We start from the raw sequence: 16,360 nt of genomic DNA on the forward strand, positions 1-16,360 counted from the left end.
ATTTAAATGTTAATCTCCTTTGGCAACACCCTCACAGACACACCCAGGATCAATACTTTGCATCCCTCCGTCCAATCAAGTTGACAGTATTAACCATCACACAGGGTTTCACCATTTGGCCAGGCTAGTCTCGAACTCCTGACCTCAAATGATACACCCACCTAGACCTTTCAAAGTGCTGGGATTATGGGCATGAGCCACCATATCTGGCCAAGAAAAACATTTTTAATGAAGGAGGCTTATTATTTTTTGGCTAGATATATGGTAAGATAGAAGTAATGGTTTCTAGTAATAGTCTTTATTGGTGCTGTCCTTGGTTTTATGAAGGGGATGCTTTTTTATAAGGTTGTTTCTTTGTTTTCTATAGCATGCTTCCCCCCATCACCAGTTCCCTTTCTTCTTCCTCCTTTTCAGACAAGCCTCCCAGCAGGACCATCCTGGTGCTGCCTTTAACCTTGCAGTAGGAACACTGAAAAACATGACTGCCTCCATGGAAGCAGGGTAATAAAATTTGCTGTCTTTTCCCTTCTAGCTGACATGTCATTCTTTCCAAAGATGCCCCTCATATACTACCTGCAATTCACAGGCAAAAACATTTTTTATATAGCTCACTTTCTGCTCTTGCCTTTCTATGTTCTTACATTGCTGAGTTACAATAAAAGTCACAAAGCAAGGGAATGCAATATTCATATATGTGCATATATCCCACTGACTAAATTCTTCAGGCATTCTGTGAGCCTGAGATGAAATGCTGGGTTATTTCATGGTCCTCACACTCTCCTGTGAATTCTTATGGCCCCCTTAAATATCATCTTTACAGCCTTACCACATTTTCTTATAAACAGAATAGAGCAGACACGAATATAAGGTAGAGAACTCTCTTTGGGCACAAATATCTTTAGTGTCTGTTGGACTAATCCTCTTGATTACTCACAGTTATAAAAATAAATATACCACTACTTTCTCTGGAGAAGATTTTCTTAATGCTTTTGAATAGTTCATAGTCTATGACATTTTTATTCAGCTATTTTGAGTCAGACACATTTTTTGATAGGGTCCCGAAAACAAACCATTAAACTTTCAGCTTGTTTTCTCTTTTTTTAAAGTAATGCAACTGACATCTACTTCATTTCCAATTAATGTGTACAACAACCTCCTGCAACTCCAGCATTTAATCTTCTACCTCAGGCTAAGAGGTAGACCAGGTTTAGAAAAAAAGTTCAGTAAGGGGCTGAGGATGGGGTGAATCTTTGGAATTTGTACAATAGTCAGGGATGTTGCCTGCACAATTGGTAATAAAATTTTGAAATGACCATTTTGAGGCAGCCAAGTCAAAATGGCGAAGCCAATATGTTCTACTTTACAACTGACGGTTACCAGATGGGAGGTTGTATAGAATCCCTCTCCAGTTAGCACTCCCAAACCAAAATATAGAATTTGCTTGCAAGAGAGGGGTGCCTCCAACATTACATGAGATTCTTGGCTAGAAAAACTTCTCTAAATAGGGCAAAATAATCTAGCTAGGCTCTGGTCTTTTAAGAATATTTATTTGGGTAGCTCTGATTGTATTATGAAGATTCTTGTATTAGTCCATTCTCATGATGCTATGAAGAAATACACGAGACTGGGTAATTAATAAAGAAAAGAGGTTTAATTGACTCAGTTCTGCATGGCTGGGAAGGCTTCAGGAAGCTTACAATCATGGCAGAAGGGGAAGCAAACACGTCCTTCTTCACAAGGTGGTAGGAGAGAGAAGAATGAGAGCTGAGTAAAGGGGGAAGCCTCTTATAAAACCATCAGATCTTGTGAGAACTTACTATCACAAGAATAGCATGGGGGAAACCACCCCCATGATTCAATTACCTCCCACTGGGTCCCTCTCATAACACATGAGGATTATGGGAACTACCAGTAAAGAGGGAGACTCAACCATACCATATCATTCTGCCCCATCCCCTCCCAAATCTCATCCTCACATTTCAAAATACAATCATGCCCTTCCAACAGTCCCCCAAAGTCTTAACTCATTCCAGTATTAACTCAAAAGTCCAAGTCCAAAGTCTCATCTGAGACAAGGCAAGTTATTTCTGCCTATGAGCCTGTAAAATCAAAAGCAAGTTAGTTACTTCCTAGATAACAATAGGGGTACAGACATTGGGTAAATACACCCATTCCAAAATAGAAAAATTGACCAAAACAAAGGGGCTACCAGCCTTATGCAAATCTGAAATCTGATAGGGCCCTCATTAAACCTTAAAGTTCCAAAATGATCTCCATTGATTGCATGTCTCATATCCAGGTCATACTTACGCCAGAGGTGGGCTCCCACAGCCTTGGGCATCTCCGCCCCTGTGGCTTTGCAGGGTACAGCCACCCCTCCTGGCTTGTTTCATGGGCTGGCATTGAATGTGGCTTTTCCAGGTACAAAGTGCAAGCGGCCAGTGGATCTACCATTCTGGGGTCTGGAAAATGGTGGCCGTCTTCTCATAGTTCCACTACTCAGTGCCCCAGTGAGGACTCTGTGTGGGGGCTCTGACCCCACATTTCCCTTCCACACTGCCGCAGCAGAGGTTATCCATGGGAGCCCTGCCATGTAGCAAACTTTTGCCTGGACGTCCAGGCATTTCCGTATATCTTCTGAAATCTAGGTGGAGGTTTCCAAAACTCAGTTCTTGACTTCTGTGCACCCACAGGCTCAACACCACATGGAAGCTGCCAAGGTTTGGGGCTTGCACCCTCTGAAGCCATAGCCTGACATGTACCTTGGCTCCTTTTAGCCATGGCTGGAGCGGCAAGCACACAGGGCACCAAATCCCTAGGCTGCACACAGCAGGGGGTCCCTGGGACCAGCCCAGGAAACCACTTTTTTCTCATAGGGCTCTGGGTGTGTGATGGGAGGGGCTTACATGAAGGTCTCTGACATGTCCTGGATACAGTTTCCCCATTGTCTTGGTAATTAACATTGGGCTCCTTGTTACTTATGCAAATTTATGCAGTGGGCTTAAATTTCTCCTCAGAAAATGGGGTTTTCTTTTCTATCACTTTGTTTGGCTGCAAATTTTCCAAACTTTTATGTACTGTTTTCTCTTTAACATTTTGCTACTTAGAAATTTCTTCTGCTAGATACCCTAAATCATCTCTCTCAAGTTCAAAGTTCCACAGATCTCTAGGTCAGGGGCAAAATGCCTCCAGTCTCTTTGCACGGCAACAGTGACCTTTACTCCAATTGCCAACAAGTTCCTCATCTCCATATGAGACCACCTCAGCCTAGACTTCATTGTCCATATCAATATTAGCAGTTTGGTTGAAGCCTTTCAACAAGTCTCTAGGAAGTTTCAAACTTTCCCACATTTTCCTGTCTTCTTCTGAGCCCTTCAAACTGTTTCAGCCTCTGCCTGTTACCCAGTTCCAAAGTTGCTTCCACATTTTCAGGTATCTTTACAGCAGTGCCCCACTCCTGGTACCAATTTACTATATTAGTTTGTTAATATGCCACTCTGAAGAAATAACTGAGACTGGGTAATTTATAAAGGAAAGAGGTTTAATCGACTCACAGTTCTGCATGGCTGGGAAGGCCTCAGGAAACTTACAATCATGGCAAAAGGGGAAGCAAACACATCCTCTTCACAAGGCAGCAGGAGAGAGAAGAATTAGAGATGAGCAAAGGTAGAAGCCCCTTATAAAACAATCAGCTATCACGAGAACTTACTCACGATCATGAAAATAGCATGGGGGAAACTGCCCTCATGATTCAAATACCTCCCATTGGGTCCCTCTCATGACACATGGGGATTATGGGAACTACAATTCAAGATGAGATTTTGGTGGGGACACAGCCAAACTATATCAGTACTCATGATGAAACCCAGGTGAAATGGCAAGTGTTTCCCTCATCACCTTACAATGAGTTTAAACAGCTGGTACTCTGGCCCTTAACTCAAACTCTTGAATGTGCAGGTGCTTTTGGTTTACTCTTTCTTAGCACTACTAAATAACTGTTTCTTCTAGGGATGTAGAAATGCTCCTTAATGTTGCTGCAAAATGGGGGATCCAAGAAGCCCAAGAACTTCTGGAGAATGTTATTTGGACTAAAAGCAAGCTCTTGCCAACTGAAAGAACCAGGAGTTCTTATAAACCATAATGTGTGCCTGCATGCTCTTCCTGGAACATGGGATGTTCTGCTCTCACTTGTCCACTGTGGCCTTGCAATGCTTTGTGGCATTTTCAATGGAAGCTCCTTTTACTTATAGTCTCATATGCTGCTGCAGCATTAATTTGCTGGTTAAAATCCTTTAAATGAAGTGTTACTTATATGTTTTCCTGGGATCTGAGTTTGATCTCTTCTGGATAGAGGAATATTTTATTTGGGTTTCATTACTGCTCACTTCAGCTAAAGTTTCATTCAAGCCAGTGAGCATTCTATAACGTGGTAAGTGGAAAATAACGAAGAAACCTGTCATACCAGAGATTGGCTTCTTGGATGTGTTAGCTGGCACTCACAGATCCACTGAAAGAGCTAGACTCATCATTAGCCTAATCTATGACATGTGATGTTCTGCCTAAAATAAGCCTGTTTTCATTTCTCTCCATTTCAATTTTCTGCTCTATTAGGTTTCTATAGTATTTTATTACACTCACTTTTTGTATTATAGAAAGTCCTTTATAGGGGTAAAAAGGCTGTTATTGTTGTCAATTAAAGGGAAAAGGATAAAGTATAAGACCTAACAATTATTGACCATCTGCCACATGCAAGATATTTTCTTAGCTGTTTAACATATATATATATATTTGAGACTGAGTTTCGCTCTTGTTGCTCAGGCTGGAGTACAATGGCATGATCTCTACTCACTGCAACCTCAGCCTCTCAGGTTCAGGATGTTATCCTGCCTCAGCCTCCTGAGTAGCTGGGATTACATGCGTGCACCATCACATCCGGCTAGTTTTTTCATTTTTAGTAGAGACGGGGTTTCACCATGTTGGTCAGGCTGGTCTTGAACTTCTGACCTCAGGTGATCTACCTGCCCTGCCCTCCCAAAATGCTGGGATTACAGGAGTGAGCCACCACGTCTGGCCTGCTTAACAAATATTTTAACATTCACTAGTTATAAAAGTCTTATAAGGTGGATCTTATAACTCCTATTTTACAGAGTGAAAACAGGTGTAGAGAAGTTGTGATATGTGCAAAGTCACAGAGTGAGTGATAGAGTGGGGTTTTTAGTGCTGGCAGTCTGATTCTAGAGTCAACATTCTTAACCAGTTCTACCAACATTACTCTCCCAAGTCATTAACATCTCTTTCCTAACAACAAAGATGTTCTAAGAACAGATAACTGGGTTTATTACTGGCATATGGTGAACACTTATCTTAGCAAATAACTCAGCCCCATTTTCTGACTATGATTTTTTTAAGGACAAACCACGTAGTCCTATTCTTCAAAAGTGATGTTTTTAACCTTAATTATAATTAGCTGTATTTATCTCATTTAGATTATAGCGCAATTTTCTCCTTGGAATATACATACAGAAACACAAATTGAGGGTGACAAAAGTGTCAAACTGGAATTCAATATGATGATTAAGCTGTGTTTAAAATATTTGTTTCCCTTTTGATTGCCTTGTTTACACTGTATACATATGGAATATGACTGTAAGCCTTCAGCAATCTTCTCTTTGTCCAACGTGAACACATAAACCTTTAAAGATGTACATGAAATGGTCACATGCAATTTTAAATTCTTTAATGTAGAAAATCCCAAATTCATAAACTAAATTCTTCACGTGAACCTTTGGTAATAGTATTTTTATCTTCTCTAGAAGCACTTTATTTTTCTTACATTTTTCCCAGAGAAACCAGTCTTCATTTCAGTTTATGTTGTTCAAGATACAACTCTGGAAATTTTATTCTGTGCCACAAACACTTATAAAATACTAGGACAATAATTTCAATCATCGTGTTAGTGTGCATTTTTTTAACCTTCACAGTAATATCCTCTTAACTGTCTTGTAATTTAAATGCTTGTTTACAGTAACAACCCAAACTTACAAGTATGAAAATATACCATAGGAATATGATCACTAAATAGTGTTTTTTTATTTTAAAAAATTCCTTTAGGTGTCTTCTATAAACATCTCCAACTAACATTGATTTAGGTTGTTTTAGGGTTCTAATGTCTTCTAACAGTTCTTTGTTGTTGAAATAAAGTAATAGAGTAGTTGAAAAAGCATAACAACAATTAGAAAGACTTTGTAAAGCCTCACATATAAAACCCCTTCACTTTTAACTTCGGTAATACTTGGGTTTAAGATCGGGAATAACCTACCAGTCCATCAGGGTTGAAAAATAATGCTTCATGCAAAACCAGAAAATGTGATGGATGAGGATTCCCCTGAATCCAAAGCTCTGCTTCTACTTCCTTTGCTGTATCTGGGCAAAAATTCAGGGGAAAAGCAAGACATAAGAAAGAAATTGGATCATAAAGAGAGTGAGAGCATGAGAGAATGAGAATGGATTTGCATGTGTTTGGCCGGTTCAGATACCCCAGGTTCTGCTTGCTTTCTTCCTTCCCTGTGCTCCTTCTGGGCCACAGAGGTTGAGAACCTCTGCACTCTTTTAGATGCCCCAGGTTTCCTATTTAGCCATTTGATGTCTTGATCCTTTTTCTCAAGGTCTGCCTTAATGTTAATATAAAAATATTTTACATTAAATATGACATATATTTACAGTACACATATCTTAAATCTACAACTAAATGAATTTTACGTATATATTACCCATGTAACTACTGCTCAGATGAAGATGCAGATTTACAATATTCCTTCCAAGTCAATACTCCCAGGTAACTGCTATCCTGATATATATTCCTACAGATTAGTTTTGCCCACTTGTGAATGCTATCATATTTGTTTGTAAATTTGGTTGTACATATTATACTGTACATTCTTTTGTATCTAGATTCTTTCACTCATGATCATTTGTGAGATTTATCCTTGTTGTTGCCTGCTGCTGGAATGAGTTCATTCTCATTTGTATAGTATTCTGTTGTATGATTACACCACAATTTATCTTTCTACTTTTGATGGGCATTTATATTACTTCTAGTTTCTGGCTATTGGTAAAAAAAAAAAAGTACCTATGAACATTCTTGTTCATGTATTTTCATGGATACACTCATATCTTTTGAATATATACCCAAGAATGGAAATGCTGGATTATAGGGTATTCATATGTTTACCTTTGGTTAGGTCTGCCAAACATTTTTCCAAAAGGGTTGTGTCATTTTACACTCCCACCATCAATTTATGAGAATTCCATTTGCTCCACATTCTTGTCAACACTTGGTTTTGTCAGTCTTTAAATTTAAGCCATTCTAGTCAGTGTAGAGTGGTATCTTATCATAGAAATTTGAATTTCTCTGGCAAGTAATAATGGGAAGTATATCTGTTTGGAGGTATTTGAGAAAGGGAGTTGGGTACACAGTGCAGCATGTACTGCACTTAAGACTTCCAAAAGGAGGCTGCCTGATTTCTTGGAGGTGAACTTTCTGGTGTGGCCACATTCTCAGTGACTTGAGATAGACTAGTGTTCAAACCTAAATTGTAAATAGATGGCTTTTAATGATCTGAACAGAACTAGGGTTTTAATTGTAGGTTGTCACCCTGTGATTTTCTTGTATAAGAGATGTAAACTTAGCCAGGAACTCAGAGTTATTTGAATTTAAATAGGATAATTTTCTTATAATCATGCTTTATTACAAATAATCTTCTAGGCTGCAGTCTATACAACCTTGCCCTAGTAAGCAATATCAAATTATGCTACATATATGTTATTGGTAAAATCCATTTGAATTGTGATTCAAATATGGCAATATTTTTATTATTACTACAAGCTGTTATTTGGCATGTGATAAAACAGAGTTAAACTGTTGGTGAATGGCTTACACAAGTTACCCAATGACAGTATATTATCTGAATTAACTTTTTGGATTCTTAGCCCCGTGCCCAAACTTACTATAAGAAAGTACTGATGCAGTGTTTTACATTTTTTTCTTTCATATCTGTAACAGATTTATTTTTTAAAGTAATGGATTTTGAGGGAAAGAAACATGGGACAGAAGTATGGAATACAAATATATGTGTGTTGCTAATTATCTTATAACCACAACAAACTAATACAGAGAATGCCCTGTACAAAACACAATAAAGTTTCAAAGATTGAGGTGTTCCTTAGCAAGGCTGAAAATTTTAGTCTCTGGTATTTGTAATTTAGGCTGCAGTCCTCATTTCTGGATGAGTCACTCTGTGTGTGTGGCACAGTCTGTGCCTTTAACCAGATTTGAACAGAAGAATGCCCATTTGGCCCAGGTAGAAGTAGATGAAGTGCTTGGTTTCATGTGTCAGGCAACTACCAAAGTTCCTCCCCGTGATGCAATGTCGGGTGGGATTGTACTTCTTGTCAAACTGCTTCTCGATATGGGCTGAAATAGTCTTTTTTATGTTCTCCAATGCCTGCGTAGCTCACACCACTAAGCCCTGATGCATCTCTTCCAACGTGACTGCATTTTTTATCACAGCCTTTCAATTTCACATGGTTACTGTGGAGCAGAGGCTGGTCAACTGGAGTAGTCTCCTTGGGGAGGTGCTAGCATGGCTCAGGCCCTCTGGAAGCTATGTTCACTACTGGAGCCATGGTACATCTAACACAGTTTATATTCTTAATGAGACTCTGTATCTAGTCGTGTTCTTTCTGTGCCTAGGAAAGCATAGAAAGTTCTTCTCATGCTCTTTCCCCACCTCAGTTTTCTCAAGGAAGCAGGACAGCACATTTGCATATACCAGCATTGGAACCATTGTACCAGTTTACTTATCTTGAACAAGTGGCTTAACCTTTCAGAGCTCCAGTTTCCCCAGTTGTGCAATAACTACTACCTCATAGTGTTGGTTTGAGGATGGATTAGCTAATGTTTAAAAAACACATAGCACAATCCTTCACATGAAGTAATGAAACTGAAGGTAGTTATGTTAAAGTTGTCAGGCATGAGAAAACGAGAAAATAATCACTTTCTGTCAGAGGTGGACTTACACTGAAGCAAATGCAGTTTAAATTTTAATGAAGTTTAAGGGCCCCTTGCAAGTAAGTATACTCAAAATAAGATATTTTAACTACAATTGGCTAGGATGACTCTTCTCATTTTGATTTCATCTCCATCACATTTGCCTTTATTTCAACCGGTATTGGAGGGCTGTAGGCATTCTTGGCTTTCAGCTGTGGGAAAGTTGAGTAGGGAATATGTTCAGTTTGGGCTTATGAGATATGTTTGACTCACATTTCTATACATAATTGGGTTACTTCTAGCTGTCTTGGTGTTGGAATGGCTTCTAGAAAACCTCTGACTGCCCACTGTGCTATGTGCAGATGCAAAGGCCAGAGTTGTGGCCAAATGGTTGGACGTGTGCACAGTATCCAGCTTCAGAAGAATGTGGGTGGTAGAAAGGGAATGGTTTCATATATTCCTTAGATGCACCTAGTGGAAAATTCTTCTGAACCTTAGAGCTCACATGTGAAAGACACTTGGATGGAAGTGTTTCTAATATTTGACCACAATCCTGAAACTTTATGTGAAGTCACCAATCATTTGTTGTGAAACCAAAAGATACTTTATTCTAAACTATTGATAAAATAAATTTTAACACATTGATAAATCTATTTTAAACTATTGATAAAATAAATTTCAAAGATGCACTGAAGTCCTATTCTATAATAGATATTATGAAATAATTATCATCCATAAAGGTGCTCAAAGAGCATGAAGTCCAAAACATAGGAAAAAGAGACAACTAGAAGTATATCAGGACATTAATTAATAAAATTATATTATTTTTCTGGCCTTTTGGTTGATTGTAGTATTTATCAGTTTTTAATGTATTTGTTGTGTTTTTTTTTCTCATCCCTGATACTTTTGTAGTCAGTTTGGATTCACAAGTTTGCATGTTTTTTTTCTTTTTTTTTTTTCTTTTATTATTATACTTTAAGTTTTAGGGTACATGTGCACATTGTGCAGGTTAGTTACATATGTATACATGTGCCATGCTGGTGCACTGTACCCACTAACTCGTCATCTAGCATTAGGTATATCTCCCAATGCTATCCCTCCCCCCTCCCCCCACCCCACAACAGTCCCCAGAGTGTGATGTTCCCCTTCCTGTGTCCATGTGATCTCATTGTTCAATTCCCACCTATGAGTGAGAACATGCGGTGTTTGGTTTTTTGTCCTTGCGATAGTTTACTGAGAATGATGATTTCCAATTTCATCCATGTCCCTACAAAGGACATGAACTCATCATTTTTTATGGGTGCATAGTATTCCATGGTGTATATGTGCCACATTTTCTTAATCCAGTCTATCATTGATGGACATTTGGGTTGGTTCCAAGTCTTTGCTATTGTGAATAGTGCCACAATAAACATACGTGTGCATGTGTCTTTATAGCAGCATGATTTATAGTCCTTTGGGTATATAACCAGTAATGGGATGCCTGGGTCAAATGGTATTTCCAGTTCTAGATCCCTGAGGAATCGCCACACTGACTTCCACAATGGTTGAACTAGTTTACAGTCCCACCAACAGTGTAAAAGTGTTCCTATTTCTCCACATCCTCTCCAGCACCTGTTGTTTCCTGACTTTTAATGACTGCCATTCTAACTGGTGTGAGATGGTATCTCACTGTGGTTTTGATTTGCATTTCTCTGATGGCCAGTGATGATGTGAGCATTTTTTCATGTGTTTTTTGGCTGCATAAATGTCTTCTTTTGAGAAGTGTCTGTTCATGCCCTTTGCCCACTTTTTGATGGGGTTGTTTGTTTTTTTCTTGTAAATTTGTTTGAGTTCATTGTAGATTCTGGATATTAGCCCTTTGTCAGATGAGTAGGTTGCGAAAATTTTCTCCCATTTTGTAGGTTGCCGGTTCACTCTGATGGTAGTTTCTTTTGCTGTACAGAAGCTCTTTAGTTTAATTAGATCCCATTTGTCAATTTTGTCTTTTGTTGCCATTGCTTTTGGTGTTTTAGACATGAAGTCCTTGCCCATGCCTATGTCCTGAATGGTATTGCCTAGGTTTTCTTCTAGGGTTTTTATGGTTTTAGGTCTAACGTTTAAGTCTTTAATCCATCTTGAATTGATTTTTGTATAAGGTGTAAGGAAGGGATCCAGTTTCAGCTTTCTACATATGGCTAGCCAGTTTTCCCAGCACCATTTATTAAATAGGGAATCCTTTCCCCATTGCTTGTTTTTCTCAGGTTTGTCAAAGATCAGATAGTTGTAGATATGCGGTGTTGTTTCTGAGGGCTCTGTTCTGTTCCATTGATCTATATCTCTGTTTTGGTACCAGTACCATGCTGTTTTCGTTACTGTAGCCTTGTAGTATAGTTTGAAGTCAGGTAGTGTGATGCCTCCAGCTTTGTCCTTTTGGCTTAGGATTGACTTGGCGATGTGGGCTCTTCTTTGGTTCCACATGAATTTTAACGTAGTTTTTTCCAATTCTGTGAAGAAAGGCATTGGTAGCTTGATGGGGATGGCATGGAATCTGTAAATTACCTTGGGCAGTATGGCCATTTTCATGATATTGATTCTTCCTACCCATGAGCATGGAATGTTCTTCCATTTGTTTGTATCCTCTTTTATTTCCTTGAGCAGTGGTTTGTATTTCTCCTTGAGAGGTCCTTCATATCCCTTGTAAGTTGGATTCCTAGGTATTTTATTCTCTTTGAAGCAATTGTGAATGGGAGTTCACTCATGATTTGGCTCTCTGTTTGTCTGTTATTGGTGTATAAGAATGCTTGTGATTTTTGTACACTGATTTTGTATCCTGAGACTTTGCTGAAGTTGCTTATCAGCTTAAGGAGATTTTGGGCTGAGGCAATAGGGTTTTCTAGATATACAATCATGTCGTATGCAAAGAGGGACAATTTGACTTCCTATTTCCCTAATTGAATACCCTTTATTTCCTTCTCCTGCCTAATTGCCCTGGCCAGAACTTCCAACACTATGTTGGATGGGAGTGGTGAGAGATGGCATCCCTGTCTTGTGCCAGTTTTCAAAGGGAATGCTTCCAGTTTTTGCCCATTCAGTATGATATTGGCTGTGGGTTTGTCATAGATAGCTCTTATTATTTTGAAATACCTCCCATCAGTACCTAATTTATTGAGAGTTTTTAGCATGAAGGGTTGTTGAATTTTGTCAAAGGCCTTTTCTGCATCTATTGAGATAATCATGTGGTTTTTGTCTTTGGCTCTGTTTATATGCTGGATTACATTTATTGATTTGCATATATTGAACCAGCCTTGCATCCCAGGGATGAAGCCCACTTGATCATGGTGGATAAGCTTTTTGATGTGCTGCTGGATTCATTTTGCCAGTATTTTATTGAGGATTTTTGCATCAATGTTCATCAAGGATATTGGTCTAAAATTCTCTTTTTTGGTTGTGTCTCTGCCCGGATTTGGTACCAGAATGATGCTGGCCTCATAAAATGAGTTAGGGAGGATTCCCTCTTTTTCTACTGATTGGAATAGTTTCAGAAGGAATGGTACCAGTTCCTCCTTGTACCTCTGGTAGAATTCGGCTGTGAATCCATCTGGTCCTGGACTCTTTTTGGTTGGTAAACTATTGATTATTGCCACAATTTCAGATCCTGTTATTGGTCTATTCAGAGATTCAACTTCTTCCTGGTTTAGTCTTGGGAGAGTGTATGTGTCAAGGAATTTATCCATTTCTTCTAGATTTTCTAGTTTATTTGCATAGAGGTGTTTGTAGTATTCTCTGATGGTAGTTTGTATTTCTGTGGGATCAGTGGTGATATCCCCTTTATCATTTTTTATTGCGTCTATTTGATTCTTCTCTCTTTTTTTTTTATTAGTCTTGCTAGCGGTCTATCTATTTTGTCGATCCTTTCAAAAAACCAGCTCCTGGATTCATTAATTTTTTGAAGGGTTTTTTGTGTCTCTATTTCCTTCAGTTCTGCTCTGATTTTAGTTATTTCTTGCCTTCTGCTAGCTTTTGAATGTGTTTGCTCTTGCTTTTCTAGTTCTTTTAATTGTGATGTTAGGGTGTCAATTTTGGATCTTTCCTGCTTTCTCTTGTGGGCATTTAGTGCTATAAATTTCCCTCCACACACTGCTTTGAATGCGTCCCAGAGATTCTGGTATGTTGTGTCTTTGTTCTCGTTGGTTTCAAAGAACATCTTTATTTCTGCCTTCATTTCGTTATGTACCCAGTAGTCATTCAGGAGCAGGTTGTTCAGTTTCCATGTAGTTGAGCGGTTTTGAGTGAGATTCTTAATCCTGAGTTCTAGTTTGATTGCACTGTGGTCTGAGAGATAGTTTGTTATAATTTCTGTTCTTTTACATTTGCTGAGGAGTGCTTTACTTCCAAGTATGTGGTCAATTTTGGAATAGGTGTGGTGTGGTGCTGAAAAAAATGTATATTCTGTTGATTTGGGGTGGAGAGTTCTGTAGATGTCTATTAGGTCCACTTGGTGCAGAGCTGAGTTCAATTCCTGGGTATCCTTGTTGACTTTCTGTCTCATTGATCTGTCTAATGTTGACAGTGGGGTGTTAAAGTCTCCCATTATTAATGTGTGGGAGTCTAAGTCTCTTTGTATGTCACTCAGGACTTGCTTTATGAATCTGGGTGCTCCTGTATTGGGTGCCTATATATTTAGGATAGTTAGCTCTTCTTGTTGAATTGATCCCTTTACCAGTATGTAATGGCCTTCTTTGTCTCTTTTGATCTTTGTTGGTTTAAAGTCTGTTTTATCAGAGACTAGGAGTGCAACCCCTGCCTTTTTTTGTTTTCCATTTGCTTGGTAGATCTTCCTCCATCCTTTTATTTTGAACCTATGTGTGTCTCTGCACATGAGATGGGTTTCCTGAATACAGCACACTGATGGGTCTTGACTCTTTATCCAACTTGCCAGTCTGTGTCTTTTAATTGGAGCATTTAGTCCATTTACATTTAAAGTTAATATTGTTATGTGTTAATTTGATCCTATCATGATGATGTTAGCTGGTTATTTTGCTCGTTAGTTGATGCAGTTTCTTCCTAGTCTCGATGGTCTTTACATTTTGGCATGATTTTGCAGCGGCTGGTACCGGTTGTTCCTTTCCATGTTTAGTGCTTCCTTTAGGAACTCTTTTAGGGCAGGCCTGGTGGTGACAAAATCTCTCAGCATTTGCTTGTCTGTAAAGTATTTTTTTCTCCTTCACTTATGAAGCTTAGTTTGGCTGGATATGAAATTCTGGGTTGAAAATTCTTTTCTTTAAGAATGTTGAATATTGACCCCCACTCTTTTCTGGCTTGTAGGGTTTCTGCCGAGAGATCCGCTGTTAGTCTGATGGGCTTCCCTTTGAGGGTAACCCGACCTTTCTCTCTGGCTGCCCTTAACATTTTTTCCTTCATTTCAACTTTGGTGAATCTGACAATTATGTGTCTTGGAGTTGCTCTTCTCGAGGAGTATCTTTGTGGCATTCTCTGTATTTCCTGAATCTGAATGTTGGCCTGCCTTGCTAGATTGGGGAAGTTCTCCTGGATAATATCCTGCAGAGTGTTTTCCAACTTGGTTCCATTCTCCCCGTCACTTTCAGGTACACCAATCAGACGTAGATTTGGTCTTTTCACATAGTCCCATATTTCTTGGAGGCTTTGCTCATTTCTTTTTATTCTTTTTTCTCTAAACTTCCCTTCTCACTTCATTTCATTCATTTCACCTTCCATTGCCGATACCCTTTCTTCCAGTTGATCGCATTGGCTCCTGAGGCTTCTGCATTCTTCACGTAGTTCTCGAGCCTTGGTTTTCAGCTCCATCAGCTCCTTTAAGCACTTCTCTGTATTGGTTATTCTAGTTATACATTCTTCTAAATTTTTTTCAAAGTTTTCAACTTGTTTGCCTTTGGTTTGAATGTCCTCCCGTAGCTCAGAGTAATTTGATCGTCTGAAGCCTTCTTCTCTCAGCTCGTCAAAGTCGTTCTCCCTCTAGCTTTGTTCCGTTGCTGGTGAGGAGCTGCGTTCCTTTGGAGGAGGAGAGGCGCTCTGCTTTTTAGAGTTTCCAGTTTTTCTGCTCTGTTTTTTCCCCATCTTTGTGGTTTTATCTACTTTTGGTCTTTGATGATGGTGATGTACAGATGGGTTTTTGGCATGGATGTCCTTTCTGTTTGTTAGTTTTCCTTCTAACAGACAGGACCCTCAGCTGCATGTCTGTTGGAGTACCCTGCCGTGTGAGGTGTCAGTGTGCCCCTGCTGGGGGGTGCCTCCCAGTTAGGCTGCTCGTGGGTCAGGGGTCAGGGACCCACTTGAGGAGGCAGTCTGCCCGTTCTCAGATCTCCAGCTGCGTGCTGGGAGAACCACTGCTCTCTTCAAAGCTGTCAGACAGGGACATTTAAGTCTGCAGAGGTTACTGCTGTCTTTTTGTTTTTCTGTGCCCTGCCCCCAGAGGTGGAGCCTACAGAGGCAGGCAGGCCTCCTTGAGCTGTGGTGGGCTCCAACCAGTTCGAGCTTCCCGGCTGCTTTGTTTACTTAAGCAAATAGCAATCAGTGAGATTCCGTGGGCGTAGGACCCTCCAAGCCAGGTGCGGGATATAATCTCGTGGTGCGCCGTTTTTTAAGCCTGTCGGAAAAGCGCAGTATTCGGGTGGGAGTGACCCGATTTTCCCAGGTCACCCCTTTCTTTGACTAGGAAAGGGAACTCCCTGACCCCTTGCGCTTCCGGAGTGAGGCAATGCCTCACCCTGCTTCGGCTCGTGCATGGTGCGCACACCCACTGACCTGCGCCCACTGTCTGGCACTCCCTAGTGAGATGAACCCGGTACCTCAGATGGAAATGCAGAAATCACCCATCTTCTGCGTCGCTCACGCTGGGAGCTGTAGACCGTAGCTGTTCCTATTCAGCCATCTTGGCTCCTCCCTCTGCATGTTTTTTTTCTTAAGGGAATCTTCAGATTGTGAAAACTTCTGGCCACATACTACCTGAATCCACCCTTGTTTGTGATCATATACCCTGTTGCCAGTGACCCAGAAGGACCTTGTAGACACACCTTTCAGTTTGTGGTTATCTTTGGCTGTGATTTCTGATGTACCATGAAACTGAGAAACCTGCATTACATAGTATTTGCAGGGACAGGAATTTTTTTAAATTTCATCCTCATTCCACATTGCTTCACTTCTTTTAGGCAAGCCAAGTATGTATTGCCTTTGCATTACTGAAGGAGAATATGGGGGTTCTTTGTCCTCTTTTGTTCCAGGGTAATTACATAAAAGAAGCTGACTCTATAGATCCCTGACCATGCATAATGAGATGACAAACTATACATC

General features: G+C 39.8%; 1 long non-coding RNA gene and 1 pseudogene across 1 annotated transcript in view; one reads left to right on the forward strand and one right to left on the reverse strand.

The window, feature by feature from the left end:
• The window catches only part of H2AZ1-DT (H2AZ1 divergent transcript), an 87,212-nt gene extending 83,026 nt beyond the window's left edge, over window positions 1-4,186 (forward strand). Inside the window, exons 3-4 of the long non-coding RNA NR_125923.1 lie at window positions 415-501; window positions 4,009-4,186. This is a non-coding gene — a long non-coding RNA (H2AZ1 divergent transcript). The remainder of the gene's footprint in view (window positions 1-414; window positions 502-4,008) is intronic.
• DYNLL1P6 (dynein light chain LC8-type 1 pseudogene 6) lies at window positions 8,325-8,585 on the reverse strand (annotated as a pseudogene).

This window comes from Homo sapiens, chromosome 4 (genome assembly GCF_000001405.40).
Source record: "Homo sapiens chromosome 4, GRCh38.p14 Primary Assembly".
Taxonomy (NCBI): Eukaryota; Metazoa; Chordata; class Mammalia; order Primates; family Hominidae; genus Homo; species Homo sapiens.